Source organism: Homo sapiens, chromosome 3 (genome assembly GCF_000001405.40).
Source record: "Homo sapiens chromosome 3, GRCh38.p14 Primary Assembly".
Taxonomy (NCBI): Eukaryota; Metazoa; Chordata; class Mammalia; order Primates; family Hominidae; genus Homo; species Homo sapiens.
Window position 1 is genome coordinate 13,322,694 of NC_000003.12, and position 16,046 is coordinate 13,338,739.

The 16,046-nt window shown below is 54.5% G+C and overlaps 1 protein-coding gene across 4 annotated transcripts in view, besides 5 other annotated features; it reads right to left on the reverse strand.

Annotated features, from left to right (window-relative positions):
• The window catches only part of NUP210 (nucleoporin 210), a 104,088-nt gene that overhangs the window by 6,459 nt on the left and 81,583 nt on the right, over nt 1-16,046 (reverse strand). For all 4 annotated transcript variants that reach the window (NM_024923.4, XM_047447797.1, XM_047447795.1 and 1 more), the window contains 9 exons: nt 15,144-15,224; nt 14,094-14,225; nt 12,761-12,919; nt 9,600-9,691; nt 7,767-7,941; nt 6,078-6,253; nt 4,524-4,744; nt 3,102-3,238; nt 616-739 (listed from right to left, as the gene is read on the reverse strand). In NM_024923.4, coding sequence (NP_079199.2) covers nt 616-739; nt 3,102-3,238; nt 4,524-4,744; nt 6,078-6,253; nt 7,767-7,941; nt 9,600-9,691; nt 12,761-12,919; nt 14,094-14,225; nt 15,144-15,224 — 1,297 coding nt within the window. The remainder of the gene's footprint in view (nt 1-615; nt 740-3,101; nt 3,239-4,523; nt 4,745-6,077; nt 6,254-7,766; nt 7,942-9,599; nt 9,692-12,760; nt 12,920-14,093; nt 14,226-15,143; nt 15,225-16,046) is intronic.
• Nucleotides 4,172-4,673: an enhancer, noted in NCBI's record as "H3K4me1 hESC enhancer chr3:13368365-13368866 (GRCh37/hg19 assembly coordinates)". NCBI's record gives its function as "activates a minimal SCP1, AML or CMV promoter by ChIP-STARR-seq in primed H9 embryonic stem cells {active_cell/tissue: H9 hESC(primed)}" and the evidence as "EXISTENCE:reporter gene assay evidence [ECO:0000049][PMID:30033119]".
• Nucleotides 4,674-5,173: an enhancer, noted in NCBI's record as "H3K4me1 hESC enhancer chr3:13368867-13369366 (GRCh37/hg19 assembly coordinates)". NCBI's record gives its function as "activates a minimal SCP1, AML or CMV promoter by ChIP-STARR-seq in primed H9 embryonic stem cells {active_cell/tissue: H9 hESC(primed)}" and the evidence as "EXISTENCE:reporter gene assay evidence [ECO:0000049][PMID:30033119]".
• Nucleotides 8,066-8,233: a silencer, noted in NCBI's record as "fragment chr3:13372259-13372426 (GRCh37/hg19 assembly coordinates)". NCBI's record gives its function as "represses an EF-1alpha promoter that drives an FKBP-Casp9 reporter gene in an ReSE screen in both phorbol 12-myristate 13-acetate-treated (for megakaryocytic differentiation) and untreated K562 erythroleukemia cells {active_cell/tissue: K562 | K562(+PMA)}" and the evidence as "EXISTENCE:reporter gene assay evidence [ECO:0000049][PMID:32094911]".
• Nucleotides 9,401-9,760: an enhancer, noted in NCBI's record as "active region_19486". NCBI's record gives its function as "activates an Ori minimal core promoter by ATAC-STARR-seq in GM12878 lymphoblastoid cells {active_cell/tissue: GM12878}" and the evidence as "EXISTENCE:reporter gene assay evidence [ECO:0000049][PMID:35858748]".
• Nucleotides 10,081-10,130: an enhancer, noted in NCBI's record as "active region_19487". NCBI's record gives its function as "activates an Ori minimal core promoter by ATAC-STARR-seq in GM12878 lymphoblastoid cells {active_cell/tissue: GM12878}" and the evidence as "EXISTENCE:reporter gene assay evidence [ECO:0000049][PMID:35858748]".

Here is a 16,046-nt window from a genome sequence, read left to right on the forward strand (position 1 = left end):
TAGTTCTCCACTAACATCTGAGCAGCATTTAGGCAACGGCACAGTGCTGTCCACTTGCGCTGAGGAAGGAGCAGAGGCTGCCATGATGGAACAGAGCTGCCTCGTTAATCAGGACGAGAAGGGCGGTGCTTCACTCTGCCAGTGAGGTGGTTTAAGAAAACAGCCCTGTTGACTTACTTATTTCTGGCAGCTGCTGTTCAGGGCTGTCATGGGCAGGGGATGGGGTTCAACATTCTATGCATGACCTGGGAGAGGTCATTACAAAAATTAAAACCAGTGACGAGTCCTGCTAATTCATTAGTTTCTGGGATTCACGGTGGGAAATTGTGGCTTTCTTTGCTAGGGTGCCCTCGGGCTGAAGTCACATTTCCAGTGCAGAACAGGCACCTTCTGGGAGCTGGGCTCCATTATGAAGATTCCTTTCACTGGCTCAGCTTTTGGAGGACTCCAATTTCAGAAACGCTGGAAGGAGTGGATGAGTGGGGGCTAAATGCCCTCTCTGGAGTTGGTGTGAGTGTGAATAGGAGAAGCAGATAAACTCCATCCAGAGGACACAGGAAGCCACCTCCCCGCTCCCAGGTACTCTGAAGACAGCCCAAGCCCCTCATTAAGTACCTCTCAGGTTAGAGCTTCTGTCTCCCACGGCAACAATCACTTTGGAGGCTGTAGCCTCCTGGAAGCTGGTCTGGATGGGGTGGAGGTGACGGGCCATGATCCTCTGAGGGACGCTGACCACCACCTAGAGAGGGAGCCAAGGAAGCTTCATGGAGCGCCGCCTGTGTCCCGGTCCATGCTGGGCGTTTCCACAACCTCACCCTGCAGTCTGTGACATAGTGTCACCCGTTTCACAGGTGGCAACACTGAGGCTCAAAGCCTAAACGCCTTGCTAGAATGTGGCAGAGAGGGGGTTTGAGCCCAGTCTGGTCAGACTTCACAGCCCAGTTCTCCCATTGAACAAGCTGCTTCCCCCAGCAGCTGACTGGACGCTGAGCAGCGGGCCTGAATTCATTAATCGATCTGGGTGGGCTGAGGATTTTGGCTGTTCGGACAGCCATGATCACTTCTCTGTAGTACAGCACCACACCCCACCCAGAATCCAGTCTGCCCAGATTTTCCCAGCTGTTCCCCCTGTGCCCATCCTGTACCTGGCCACACCCAAACAGCCCCAGGCTGGAGACCTCCCTGCACTCCCTTGGCTAGGACACCCTCCCATCTTCTCTGCAGAGCCCAGCCTCATCCACCCTTCAGGCCCAAGGCCACTTCCTGCAGCTGAAGGCCCCCCTCCCTCTCTCAGCAGGCACCAGCGCTCCCTGCCTCCAGGAGATCTGATTTCTACCAGTAGGTGAACTTCAGAGCAGGGATGCGATTGAAGCCCCTGCAGCTCCCAGGGATGTGGCCCATGCAGAGCTGTAGGTGACCAGGCATCACTGTCAAACTCACGGTGCCTCCGCTCAGGGCTTACCACCATCCACCTCCAGGGACTGACAGAGGCTGTGTCCCACTCTCTAGCCTGGGACCCCCCAACGCTGGCCCTCCTCTCCCCTTCCTCCCTGTCCACCCTCAGAGAGTGCCCAAGGCTTCCTGGCCCCTCTCCTGCCTGCACTCCTGGAGTGCCCGTGCACTCCCACCCACTCCCAGGGCTTCAGAGGCCACTTCTGGGCTGAGGCCCCCACCCTGTCCAGCCTTCCTCACAGTGCTCCTGCCGCACCCACCCAGGTGTGCCTCCTGCCTCACCTGGGAGAGCTGTGACATCTCTAGCTCCCCGGCCCAGGCTCCTCACCTCCCTGCAGGCCTACCTACCTCTGTGTGCCCCTCTCAGCAAAGGACCAGTAGCAGCCTGGTCATCCCAAGCCCTTCCTCCCCTCCAGCCTCACTTCTGGATGCTCATGGAGCTCTGATGTGCCTCCCTCCCTCCCGTCTCTCCCAAACCTGCCTTTAGATTCTGCCACACCCAGTGATCCCAGCTGAGGGCCTGGCCTCAGTCTCTGGCCAGTTACCCTGTAGCGACTGCTCTCTCGAGCTCCTCCAGGTGCCAGGTAACCTCTGCAAACACAGCCTTGGTCTATAGCACTGTTTAAAAAACTCCACTGAGTGTGGCATAAGCTTCTACCCCTTCACCCTGGAACAGCAGCAGCAGCAGCAGCTAATTTCTGCTGAGCACTGGCTATGAGCTGAGCACCACCCTAGGGGCTTCTGACGTGCTAACTCACTAAATCCTCACAACGCTATCATCCCCATTATACAGGCAAGAAAATCGGGACATAGCGAGACTCAATGATTGCTCAGTCATAGCCTCGCAGTGGCCAAGCTGGGATTTGACCTAGACCGTCTAGCTGTAGATGCCCCACCCTCAACCTGCACCAAACTGCCTGGAATCTGGTGCATTTTCTGATCTGATCACAAAGCCAGACCATGCTTCTCCCACACCCTCTGTTCCAGCCCCCGAGGCTCTGCCCTTGAACCCTACACACCTTTGTCCATGCCACCCCATCCCCTGACCAGAGGCTCTTTCCAGGAGAGCACAGCTGTATTGTCACAGGATGCCTCTGTCTGCAACTGGCTCGCCCAAACTGCAGAGCCGCAGCACTAAATATGCAAACAATTAGGTTAAACTGCTAGGTTCCATAAAGCACATGCTGCCTCTAAAAATGAGATGCATTTGGATCTCAGCCAGACTTGCCCCACTGATTCATTCTCAACTGGAGATGAATGGAAGAGACAGCAGGTTTTGTCGCCTCCAGACTCAAAGGGTGACTTGCACAGGGAGTCTTAGCCTTGCAGGTGACAGGGAAGCACCGGCTCCCAGGAAGTGCCCACTCCGGGGTTGCCAGACCCAAGCCCATGGGAGCTGGAATCCACCCTACAAGGCTGCCTGTCCTCATCACACCCTCTTGAACATGGGGAGACTGAAGCCTGGAAAAAAAAGGGAGCTTGTCCCCATGTCAGAGTCAGCAAGTGGCCAGTCCCAGACTCATGACTCCCAGACCCAACCCCTCAGACGGCTTTTCCCTAAAAGGAAAAGTCTTCATAATCCTCCCAGAAGGTCAGGCCCGCCTCACAGGCCACTGAGCCACATGTGCCTCCGGCTGCTTAGAGCCCACCTCCTTGTAGGTCCTCAGGTGCCCAGCGACCTCATAGTAAACCGTCACGGATCCCACGGCCCGGGCCACAGCCACACCCGTCTTGGGGTCGATGTGGAGGATGCTGTTGGCCGAGGAGCTCCAGGTTCCTGAGAGGCCTGGAGAGGAAGCACAGGTGTCAGCCCCCTTTCCATAGCTGGACACTCCAGTCAAAGCCCAGCTCACCTGGATGACAGGCCAGCTTCCTCGCTGGCTGCCGCTACCCCCATGGGGGCTCACTCAGCAGCCTCAGGAGACAGCCACGCTGCCTGCCCCAGTGCCGGTCATGCTCCTGACTCCAGCCACCTGGAGCCATCAGCTCTCCTACCCTGCTGCACCCGCCCTCTACAGGGCTGTGGCCCCTAGCACCTGCTCTCCCTGACCCACAACTCCCTGCCTGGAATCTCCTGACCATCCTGGCATGAAGCTTTAGCTGACTCCTGCCCAGGAATGGTCTGGTGCTGCTGCCAGGCCCTGCCCTCTGTAGCTCCTTCCCCAAAGCACAGCCCCTCCCCATCCCTTCGTTGCCTTATCAATTCCTTTTTAGCAACAGACAGCAGGTGTGAGGCTCAGAGCTTTCACCACATACACATCTGAGTTAAAAGCCAATCACATTATATAATAAGTACAATTAAAGGACTCAACCATAATCTATTTATGGCAAATTATATTTGTTTTTCCTTAAAGGTAGTATTTCATCTCCTTTTAAAATGAATTTAGTAAGGTTAAAAAAAAAGGTGGAGACAATTTGAAAATAAAAGCTAAGTAAATAATTGTACACGTGTTCCACAGATGTACTACAGGTCACCTGGGCATGGCTGAAATTTGGAAGCCCCTGATTTAGCCCAGTGTCCTTCTTTGCTTAAGTCTCCCAGCCTGTGCTGTCCACTATGGCGGCCACTTCCCACAGAATTCACTAAAATGGTGAATTCAGTTCCTCAGCAGCAGCAGAGATCCGTGTGTCTCCTGGCTAGAGGAACTGAGTGAGACTATGCAGAGACAGGATGCCCCACAGGGGCAGGGGACCCCCCCACCGACTTGGCAGAGCTGTTCCAGAAAAGGGCTGGCAAATGCTTTCTGTGAAGGTCGGACATAAGCATTTGGGCTATGCAGCCCATACAATCTCTGCTATGACCACACAATCTGGCAGTGGTAGGGTGACAACAGCCACTGACCATACATAATGCATGGCACAGCTGAGTGCCAACAAAAATTTACTTGCAGAAAACAGGCACAGGCTGGATCTGGTCTCCGGGCAGCAGTTTTGGAGCACTGCTCCTGAGTATCCTGCAGGTCTGCCTGTAGGCCCCCGTGACTGGTGCCGAGCCCCTGCCCAGGTAGCCCCCACCCAGCTTTGCAAGCGTCCGTGACTCCACAGGTTCCCTTGCTCAGGATCTATCTTACCTTCCAGGCTGGTCAGAACAGTGGCCAGACAGAGCACGTCCCCCACCACCATGGCCCCAGACAGCTCTGGGGAGATGGCCTGTAGGACAGGCAGGGGCATGAAGTCCGAGAGGCCCGGGTGCTCTGCGTCCCACACACGGAGCAGTGTCAGGCCCACGCTGACTGTGCGGACAACGCAGGTGTTGTTGGTGGGGCCCTTCCCGATCTGCACAAAGTCGTCTCTAGGCACAGGAGAGAAAGGAGGGCTCTCAGTCTCGGGAAAGAAGCTTCCAACTCCCAAAGGGAGAAACGTAATCCATGTCCTCTGCTGAGCAAAGCATTCAACTGACTGAGGTCCCAGGTGTGGCCCCAACTCGAGGTTACCAAGCAGTGGCCCCAGATGAGGGACCACTGCAGGCAGGTGGCACAGGCTCGACCTCCTCACTTGTCATGCCAGAAAGCACATGCAGCTCGCAGCCAAACAGTGGCAGCAGCATCATTCCTGCATTTCAGAAAGGAAGCTGAGGCCCCGAGGGGAAAGAGATCCAGAGTGCTTCCTCACGCTCTTCCCACCAGGGAACTGGACATGCCAGAAAGGGAAGGCTGCCCTTACTATGCAACCTGACTGCAGAAGCAGCCTCTGCCCCTTTCCTCCTCTGAAAAATGGGGATCATCACGTGACCGTGACGCAGGCCTGGCATAAGCATTACATGAGGTCAGCAGTGGGGAGGCACCTGCCACAGGGCAGGTGCTCAGTCAATGTTGGCAATGGCAGCTTTGGTGCAGAAGTGTGGACTGCGTGGGGTGACAGTTTGGGTTAGGGATCATGGCTGCATCCTTGCCTCCACCACACCTTCTGACCCTGAGTGCTGACTAGGTCTCTATCAGGTGCTCCTGCTACAAGAAGGCCAGAATGACCTGCAGTGCAGCCAAAGGGCTGGGAGAACTGGGCTCCATTTCCTCCAGGACATGCCCTAAACTGATGGATGGCAATTATGTGCGCACACACGGAGTGCCATGGTTTGCCAGCGGTCCTCATGACCACTCCCTCAGCTGAAGGAAAGCCCTGGAACCTAGGCCATATTGCCCAACGTGAGAGGTGTGGAAACAGATTTTTGGATGGTGACCTACTCACAGGGCCCACGAAGGGCAGAGCTGGGGCTAGAACCAGGCCTGACTCTAAACCCCAGTTCTTTCCATAAGGCAACACCCCTGACACCTGTCTTTGAATGCATTCAGCAACAGGGAAACACAACTGTGGCAGGACCTGTGGGCAGCCGAAGCTGAAGGGCCAATTTCCTGTGCCTCGGGGAGCACTCCCTGGAGCTGCCCCATGCCCTGTTTCCTCCTTTGGGGGCTGATGCCTGTCTGTCTTCCTCTGAGCTGGTCTACATCCCCCAAGGGCAGTGGTGTTTCCTCGTGGCCCTGCATGGTGCAGCATGCCCACATCTCTTGGAAACTGAAGTAATACACATCTTCCTTCAACAGCAGCAGACTTTCTGTGTTATCCCCAGTTGTCTCTACCAGGTACCAGACAGGACTTCATAGGAGAAATGACCCTTGCCCACATCCTACCTGTTAGTGGCAAAGTTGAGGACCGAACTGTGAGCATGGAAGACATCTCCAGAGTTGTCGTGGAAGTGGACAGTGAAGGTCACGGTCATTCCCAAAGGCACGGCCACCAGGGCCTCCTTGTTCTGGGTGTGCAGGACAGGGCTCATGGAAACCCTCAGGTAGGAAACAGGGGATACCTAAGGGACAACATACAGGTATGATGAGGATTCAGTGCCAGGGACTGGCCTCCAGGAAAACCCACCTCCCAAGGAGGGGACACCTGCCCCCAGCAGGATCCACCTCAGGAACAATGCAGGGCTGGACTTAGGGGTCCTGAGAGGAGTAAAGGCCACACTCCCCAGAGTGTCCCAACCTAGTGACAAGGTTCTTACTTCCCAACACAGCAGACTGGCCTCTCTATGAGAAAACCCACCCAGGAGTGTCCCAATCCATGACTTGAATAAATGAGATCACTATTTACATTGCAAGAGGGCCCCCTGGGCTGCAAATGTCCAGTTTCTTCAGAGAACCTGGCTCTTGGGGCATTTAAAGAAACGAAATCCTCCTCGATCGCAGGGGCAGCGCTAAGCAGGCCACAGCATGCCCTGCAGGCCACCAGGGGAAGGAGGGAAATGGGGATTTCTGGAGCCCAAGAACCCGAGCTCCATAAACAGCAGCCCTTGTTTCTCTGAGTCCAGGTGAAAATCTATCCTCGCTCAAAAGCTAGTGCTCCAAAGGTCTGAATTTCTTTAACAAAGTTCAGTGGTGCAGTGTCTGGTATACAGCTAGTGCTCAGTACATATTTGTTGAAATAGGATGAGCAGTCAGTCACTTTCACTCACCAAAAACTAGAGCGGGGGATTTGCTGCCAGGCACCCATTTTGAAACAAAATGATGTGAATTAATGAAAGAGGTCTGTGACCCAGGCAGAGTCTAAAGATTTAAGTGAGTGTGTGTCTTCTGTCATCCAGGGTTCAGCAAGTGGTGATGATGAGACATGGAAAGAAAATTCCATTCAGCAAAACCCCAGGACCTGACCCAGGGATGCTGATGGAGAAGGTCCCATCCGTAAGGAACACAGAACGGCAGAGGGCAGTGCCATGATATGGCAGAAGGACACGGCCCAAACCAGACAGACCCCATCACTCAACCCCCATGCAAGCTTAAGCAAGTCACTCTCACTCTGAGCCTCAGTCTCCTTGTCTGGAAAATGGGCCACCTCATTCTCAAAACCACAGTGGATGTCACGTACTGGATGTCACGACTTGTATGGCAGGTACTGAGCACAACATTCAATGCTCTTAAGAACAGACCATGTTCCAGACACTGGGCTGGCCCAGAACAGGAGCTCCACCATGGGTGGTGATAACATCAGTGGCCAGGCACAGTGGGTGGAGCACCCGCACTCCAGTCAGGAAGCTGTGGTGCCAGTCCCAGCTCTGTAACCTTACGCCAATCATGGACCTTGCTGGGCCTCATCTATGAAATGAAGTTCTTGGAATCAATGATTTCCCAAGGATCTTCGGCTCTGATGACCAGAAGATGCTGTAGCTTTTTATCTACCTAGGACCTTTGCCCCTGAGTTACTCTAAATGCCTGTCTACAGTTTCTTAGCTGGAAGGTGAACGTATTCACTTTTACACCTGAGAGGCATATTACCTCAGTGCTATTGCTTTCATTACTCCAAAAAGGAGGAGAATGCAACCCTACCTTTACAGCAACAATGATGGTTTGGTTGGCCCCAAAGGGCTCTTGTGCAATCACTTCGATGGTGGATGTCCCGATCATAGACCCTGATGCTAGAAAGCCTTTCTCATCAACATGCACAACTGGAACCTTTTCGGGTCCATCCAGGACGCGGTAGCTCAGAGAGGCTGCACCATCCCTTTGGAAAACAAAACAGAGCTGTTTTTGTAGATGGCAGCAGTGGGAGTGGGCCTGGATACAATGCCAGGAGATCTAAGAGTCTGTGGCTCCTCATGCTCCTGGGAGGAAAAAAGGCCCAATCTTGGCCCCACGGACCTCAGGACCACGTGCCGTCAGTTGTCTGAGGCTTCATCAGTCACCCACGGAAAAGTAATTCAGAAATCCAATGGTTCCGAGCAAAGTGTGGCGTCTCACTCTTCCCAGAGCAGTGCCTGCCGTGGGTCAGCCAGCAGGGAGGGAGAGACTATGAGGGCAGTTTCTTTCATCAGCTCCATGGGACATCTACTGTAAAATATCATTTCTGCAGCAAATTGTTCTCAATTTACTGAAGCAAGGCATCCTGGCATAGTGGAGGATGGGGCTTTGAGTCCGACAGAATCCAAAGCCGGTCCCAACATGTCCTGCCACCAGCTGTGTGCACATTATGTCCCCTCTTCTCTCGGCGTTGACTTCTTACTTGGTAAAAGGTGTGTAATGATCCTGTCTTGTCCTATTTCTAAGGACTGTCAACAGGATAAAAACAGACTACCCGCTAAGAAAACTGTTAGCAAACTACTGATACTATGTACTGGGTAGGAAGCAAATTATGCCGTATCTGTTACCCTTTTACATATTTATTAATATAATAAAGAAACCCAGGAAGCAAAGGCCTCCAGCTCCCACGGCTAGTTTCCATCATCTCTGTCTCTTCCACAGCCCTATAGATGACTAGGAGCAAATGTTATTGCCTCTGCCTAAACATTCTTCCCCCACCAACCCCTTCCTCTTAACCTGGGGAACTCTTATTCATCCTTCAAGAACTGCAGCCCGAGCATCTCCATCTGGGACATGCCTCCCCTAAATCCCCATGGACAGCACCCTTCTTTGGGCTCTGGTTTGAATACTACACCTTGCTTTTTAATAGCCTTCTCCTGCTACCCTCCTCCGGGGCACCCTATGTCACCCATATCTGTGTTCCTGGAGCCCAGCATGGAGCCTGGCACTTTGTTACTTTTGGCTGAATGAAAACATGTATGTGTTTCATGCAACATGTAAGTGTCCTGTGGCCCGTGGAGTCTCCCGCTTGGCAACTGCCATTCAAATGCAAGCCACTGTTACGAAAGGCATCCCCTTGGAATCAAAGGTAGGAATTAGGTTTGCAGAAGAGCTTTAAACAGCTTTTCCCAAGCGTTACTGTGCGGCCCCCTCGCCTGGGGATCTCCCTAGGGTGCAGCTTCTCCCTGGGCAGGTCTGGGGTGGGGCTTGAGAGCTGCATCTTCTCTTCCCGGTGATGCTGATGCTTCTGGCTCATGGGCTACACTCTGAGTGGCAAGTCTTGAAACACAACATTTCTAAGCTGGTGTTTTTTTCCCTTTTAAAGACTGAATTTTAGTACCTCGCATAAAAATGTTTCTAGGCTACAAGGAGGAAAAAGAGACCCACAGTGAGAAGTGATTTCAAGAAGCAGAGGAGCACCACAGAGAAGAGAAGGAGCAGGCAGAGGCCTCACCCATTCCAAGCACAGCAGGAGAAAACCTCCCTGAAAGTACCCATGGCTCCTGACAGTGTTGACACATGAGGTGTCGGATGCAAGCACAGCCGCACAACTTTGCTGGAAACAAGAGCTGAGTCACGTACCTGTTTGTCTGCAGCTTTATATATGAGTTGGGCGACATTAATATTTGTTCTGCTTCTATTTCAGGGTTGAGCAGCTGCAGCTTCTCAAACACCTGCAAGAGAGGGCAAGTTTCACTTCCGATGGGGCACTGGAGTCACATTCAGGCCAGATGTCTGCTTCTCTCCTAGCAGCAAGAGCCGAGGAGGGGCCAGAGAGGAGAAAAGCGGCTTTCTCGTCTGTCAGGTCACTGATGACATGATGTGAAGGGCTGACCTTTAAGAGGCCAAAGGTGTGGCCGGGTAGAGTAGCTCAGCCAAGGCAACACAGCAAACCCTCAGTCTCTACAAAATAATTTTAAAAATTAGCCAGGCATGGAGTGTGCAACTGTAGTCCCAGCTACTTGGGAGGCTGAGGCTTGCACTCCAGTCTGAGCAACAGAGCAAGACCCTATCTCACACACACACACACACATGGCCAAAGATATGATGAGAAAAGACAGGCAGGCTCATGTTTGTGTAGTCTAATGGGAGCTCCTTCAAGGAGCCTGGAAACACAGGCCTCTCCCTCCGTGCCCAGTGAGGAAGAACTTTACCTGCCAGGATGTGAGCGCGGAGGGCAGCACACACAACTCCAGCACCAGGGTTTGCTCAGGATAACTGTGCCAGGACTGAGCCTGGGCAAGGTGCCACCGAACTGCTCCCTTCTCTCACAGAGACATCCTGCTCCTCACTGCCACCATCTCAGAACAACCCCCGTTCCACCTCCCAGGCTCCTCTGGCTGGCTCTGGCCATGTTCTTGCAGGATCCACATAGACACACACAGGGGCCTGGTGAGGAGCTCAGTCCGGCAAATGATCAGCCTCATGAGGTCGGCTCAGATCTGATCCTGGGACGCCCAAGTGCTCCAAGGCCCTGGTGGCTCCCCGAGCCCATGGCAACAGCACTTACCTGGGAACTCCAGGCCCCTTCTCTGCAAGACTTCAGATGTGTCCACCACCTGTGTAAGTCCCCTCTCTCAGGCCCCTCAGGGCTGCTGCCTCCTCGGCCTCCCAGCCTGGCTCAGGGGCAACCACTCGCTGGCAGGTAAAGCTGTGCCCTGAGCTCTCCACTGGCCTCTGATCAGACCAGGTGGACACCCCTCGGGCCTGAGCCCTGGGCCATGGCCAATATCATCGGATCTGACGAGTGATTCTCTGAGAGGAAGATGGCCTGATTCCACCCCTCCCAGCTCCTCTGTGCTCTGTCCACGTAAGCCTAGATTTCCTTGTGTGTAACATGGTCCACAACTAACGTCCTCTCCATGCCTGTCTTGAGAGTTGTGGGCTCCATATGAGGTGACAGGAGGAACAACACTTCCCAAACGGTGAGAAACAGCCTTTGGGAGCTGGGTGGGGTTTTGGCGTCAGGTGAGACGAGGCTGACTCGGATGCCCCCTTCCGGCATCCACACGGAAGCCACCTCACTGAGTCTGACTCGGACACACTTACTGCCTGGTAAATACATTCATAAATAGGATTCCTTCTATTTTTTTTTAAACCATGCATTCCTATTTTCTCTCTTTAGATGGAGGGGGAGTTGTAAGATATTTCCCACTTTCCTGTTAACTATAAGAAAAGCAACAGCATGAGCACCATGGTAAATGGCAACTGATACTTGATATCACTGTCAGGGAGAAAACAGGGAGTGGCGGGGCCTGTGGCAAACTGGAGAGTGCAGCTCTAATGGAGTCAAGGTTGCTTCTCATTGCCTGCTGATTTTGCTGTGGCAGACACCATATCTTTAGGACATGCTGCATCTTAGATTTTTACCTGGAATCTTCCTATCTTTACATGACAACAAGCTGTCTCAAAGGCCTGAGTGAGCCAAATAAAACACGTTTGTAGGCTGGATCCAGATTCTCTAGTTTCTGATTTACTCAAACTCTACCTGCTGTCAGATAGGGAAACAGAGGCACAGAGCTGCCAAGTGACCCAACTGAGGTTACAGAATTTGGAAGCTGCAAAACCCTGCCTTTAATTCCATGATAGGCTCCAGGACTTACTTCCTTTTAACAAAGAACATGCATTTGGTGAGTGTGGGGATGTGCATGTGTACCTCTGTGTTGTATGTATGTGTCTCTATGTATGTGTGTCTGTGTGTGCATGTGTGTCGTGTGTGTGTGCATGTGCAGGCAGGGGTGAGGGGTTGGCAGATCGGTGGGGGTTTTTTTGTGGGTGTTTCTTTCTTGAAAAGTTTGCTTCTTTGCCCCTGATCAGGGAGGTGCTTGGGTTAGACATAGTTTATTTCTTCTTGAGGCGGGGACTAGAAACTGTTTCTTTTCTTGGGACATATAAGGAACACTTTTTGTTTTTCTTTACAGCTTAGGAGCACCCAGGGGTTACTGAGGCCCAGAGGAGCAGAACGAGGCCCTTGAAGACAAAAATGCTCTTCAGAGCCAACTTGCCAACTCTCCACCTTGCAGAGGGGCCCAGAGGGGCAGGAACTCGCCCACAGCCCATCCTATAAGTAGCAGGGACAGGCTGGATACAGACACAGGGCTGCACCCCAGGCAGGAGAACCACTAGACGCAGTCCTGACCCCTGGCTCTGAACAAGGCGCCTCCCTCTCTGAGGCTGTTTTCCAAATGCAGACAGGGCACAGTCCCCAGGCCTCTTGAGGCCACCCCCAACTTACCCTGTGACCTTGACCCTCCCCGCCTCAGGGGCATCAGCAGGTGGCAGCCCCTGCAGCCCCTGCCCCGCAGGCTTCACCTGAGGACTGGAGGCAGCAATACTGAAAAACGTGCAAGGGCGCCCCAGCCTCTGTTGGGTGCTCTATGTGTGTTAAATAAACACAAACGATTAAATTATCAGCCACTCAGACACAGTGAGCCCCAAGCTCAGAATTCTTTGCTCTTTTGGCCACACATCAAGTGAGTTCCCACCTCCAGGCCTTTGCCAGCCCCTCCCATCCTGAAACATTACTCCTCTGTGAAGCCTTTGCTTGGCCCCACCTCTGGGCTCCCATAGCACCAATCACACCCGGATGTTTACCCCACTGCGATGGACCACTGTCATCCCCACGGACTGAGAGCTTCTCAGGTCTCTCAGCCCCTGCCCATGCAACATGTGGCCCCGAAGGAAGATTGGGCAGCTGGCACTTCCTCTCCCCCTTCCCTGTGGCCTTTCCACCTGCCTCCTACCTGGACTTGGATCTCATCCGAGAGTTCTCTGGCCAGGCCATACAGCTGCCCCGATGTGGGGTCCACAGCCTTGACCACCACCCTCAGCCCGGTCCGGCCTTTTACCCGGCCGAGCACGTTCATGGCAAAGTTGTACTGTGACGGGAGTCGGATCGACGCCTGGGAAGACATCAAACACGTTTTCAGGGGTAAGGCCCAGGCCCCTGTGTCCTCAAAAAGGCAGAGCCGGACAGTAGCCCCAGACCCCCCAGCCCCCCAGTCCTGGTAGCTGCTGGCCTGTTCTCAAGGGCTCTGCCTTCCTGCCTGGGTTGGGTCTGCTAACCCCAGAGCTGTGCAGACCCGGCTTCCCCAGCATGGGTGCCCGGGTCCTGCCCTGCCTGCATCGCACAACATGCACAGATGCATTTGGAAAACACTGGGCCCACCCACGTAAGCCAGGGGCCTTCATGACAGGATGTCCCTCAGACTTCAGTGCTTCTAGGTCACCCAGAGCGATGCTGGGTTTTGCAGTGTGTCCCTGCAGACTATTCTGTTTGGGGATATCTGCTAATAAGTCTCACTGTTTGTGTTCCATGGGAGCAATCTGGGGGAGCCCCCGGGCACCAGGGACAGGACTCTGTTCCCACTGGGTGGGGTCGGGGGGCATTCGTCCCACACTAGACAAGCTTCAGGCAGCCTTTAGGAAATCCTATCCCTGGGCTTTGGTCTCTTTCCAGGCCTCCATCCCCACTGTCCCTGAATCAGGCAGGGAGCGACCTTTCAAGCCACCCTCCACTTGGGTCCTGTGTGTCCAAGGCCCACCTGGGCTTGGGCCTAGAGTCACAGGGGCTGGTGCCCAGTACCATTTCCCCACTGGCTTGCTGGGCAACCCTGGGCAAGTCCCTTCCCGTTTCTGGCCTCAGTTAACACAGACAGACTTAGTAGTCTCCCTGGCACCTTCCAGCTCTGACATCTTAGGAGAAGCCAGGGCCCCTCGCTGGGCTAAGGGAAGGGGAATTTGGCCTCTGGGATGAACCAGGAGAAACCGAGGGCTGCCAGGCATCATCTCAGAAAATGGTCAGAAGCTGCAGACTCTGACCTCCCAGGACTTTTGTGACTTCCTCACACGGCTGCTTCTGTTGGGAGAGGCACCTACTCACCCCGTCTATGTGTTTAGCATTTGGGAGAAGGGAGTCCCGATGAGCCTCGGGAGAGGGAAGAAAGTGGGCGGGCCTCTCTAGGTGTGAGGGTGGGGACTTCCTGTGGGACAATGTGGCAGGAACCCTCCCTGCCACTCGGGGTGCTGGCCTGGGACAGGGGTGGGAGGTGAGCTCTGGAGGGGGTGGTTACCTACCTCGTGGTGCCGCCCTCGGAGGTCCAGGACGTCCCGCTTGGTGACAGACCAGTGGAAGGTCAGGCCTGGCACGGCATTGCCAAAGGAGAAAGGGTTCTGGTGGTTGGTGATGCCGGTGACATAGATGGGCATCTGCAGGGGAGAAGTCAGGCCCAGTGAGCAGTAGCTCCCAGCACTGGGAATGCCCCCAGAAGCTTTGCTGCCTCCTTCAAGCAGTGGGAGATGAACCCAATTCCTCCCCAACTAGAGAAGAGCATGGCACAGGTTTGGGAATTTTGATGAAATATCAAACGAGCAAACCAGAGGTGGGACTGTTTTCCCCATACTGTCCCTCCCCTGCAGCGGGCTGCACCTCTCCATGGCCAAGATACTCATTTCCGGAAGGAGTCCCTGGAGCTCTAGGAGGCCATGGGTCCCCCAGCAGCACAGCTCGTGCTGCCCCACAGTGCTGGTTCCTCCGGGCCCCTCTCTCCTAATCTAGCTGGGGTCCCTGCTCACAGGGCACGTGTGGGTGGGGTCCCTGGCTCCTTTAGTCTCTATTTGCTGTGTCGGCTTGAGGGCACAGGCGGAGGCAAGACGGCAAAAGGCCACAGCAGGTGTTGTGCCAGGCTGCCCAGTCCACTCCCACTGCTGCCACTTCCTAGCTGTGTGGCCCTGGGCACGGGTCTTAAGCTTTCTGTGTGTTCATTTGCTCATCTGCGACACGAAGATGGTTCTGACACCAGCCTCCCAGGGCTGCTATGAACACCAAATGGATTAATGTCCAAGACAGCACGGAGTTGAGTTAAGTGCCACAGTCACTGTGCTCCTGTTAGGCACCTGGTACTATTCCAGATGTGGGAAGGTGACAGGCCAGCAGGAAGCAGGCCTTCATCAGTGGCTACCAGAGAGCAATGGAGGGTGTCTCCCTGGGTGGGGACAGGTGGGAAGCAGGCCCTAGATACCCGGGCCAGGCAGATGGAGGAGGTGGAGAAGCACTCTAACTTGAGGACAGGGTCCCAGCAGTGGCTCTTCGGGAACCAGGATTCAGAGCCCAGGAGGTCCCCTCACCTGGGTGCCCGTCCTCATCCGCATGATGGGGGCGCGGATCCTCACGGCCCTTAGCAGCAGCACCTCCACCTGCACGAGGTCCTGGGGAAACAGGGTGGCACTTAGGTGTGGGGATGCAGTGCTGGCCAGGGATGTTTCAGGAAGGGACCCCTCAAGGGAAGCAGGCTGCGGCTCAGAGTCTGTGGCGAGAAGGCCCCTCAGGATGACCAGCACCATGCTCCTCTGCCGAGGGAGGCCTGGCTTTGTGAGTGGCTCTCCCCTCATGGGCCAGCCACTGCCTCTCCCAAGGCCCCGCAGGTCCCAACCCAGTCCCCTGAGGCTGCTGCCCTGTCTGATCCAGCTGTTCCAGGTCAGCACTGCAGACTTGGGGCCGGGGACTGGTGCCTGCTCTTCCTTAGGCCTGGCTGCCCTCAAGCAAAAGGTCTCCAGGCCCTCCCAACCCCAAATCCAGCCTGCCTGTCTCTGACTGAGCAGGGTACAGGGACGAATGCAGGAGCCCTGTAGAGTCTGATCAGAACTTATAACCTCCTTCATTCTGAACTCCACACTCCTATTAATCTGGCCAAAGACTAACTCTCCTGGCTTCTTCCTAGTGCTGCTGAGTCATGCTGAACTGAGGCTATTAAAACCCTTAGACTCTCTGACGTGCTCAGGCTGAGCCCATCTTGAGGCTCATGACTTGGGCTAATGCCTGGCACACAGTAAGTGCTTGAAAAGCACCCATTCCCCTCCTTTCACTCATCTTTCTGCTCAGTCTCTTCCTGCTAGTCCTGGCCCACCCCACGGCCTTGGGGTGCTGGTTGTGTGCTCTGGATTGGACAGATGGAACTGGAAGCATCTGACCAGAATCACATTCCAGGCATGGACAAGGCGCCGCAGGTGAAACCTCTGCCTGCCTGGGCT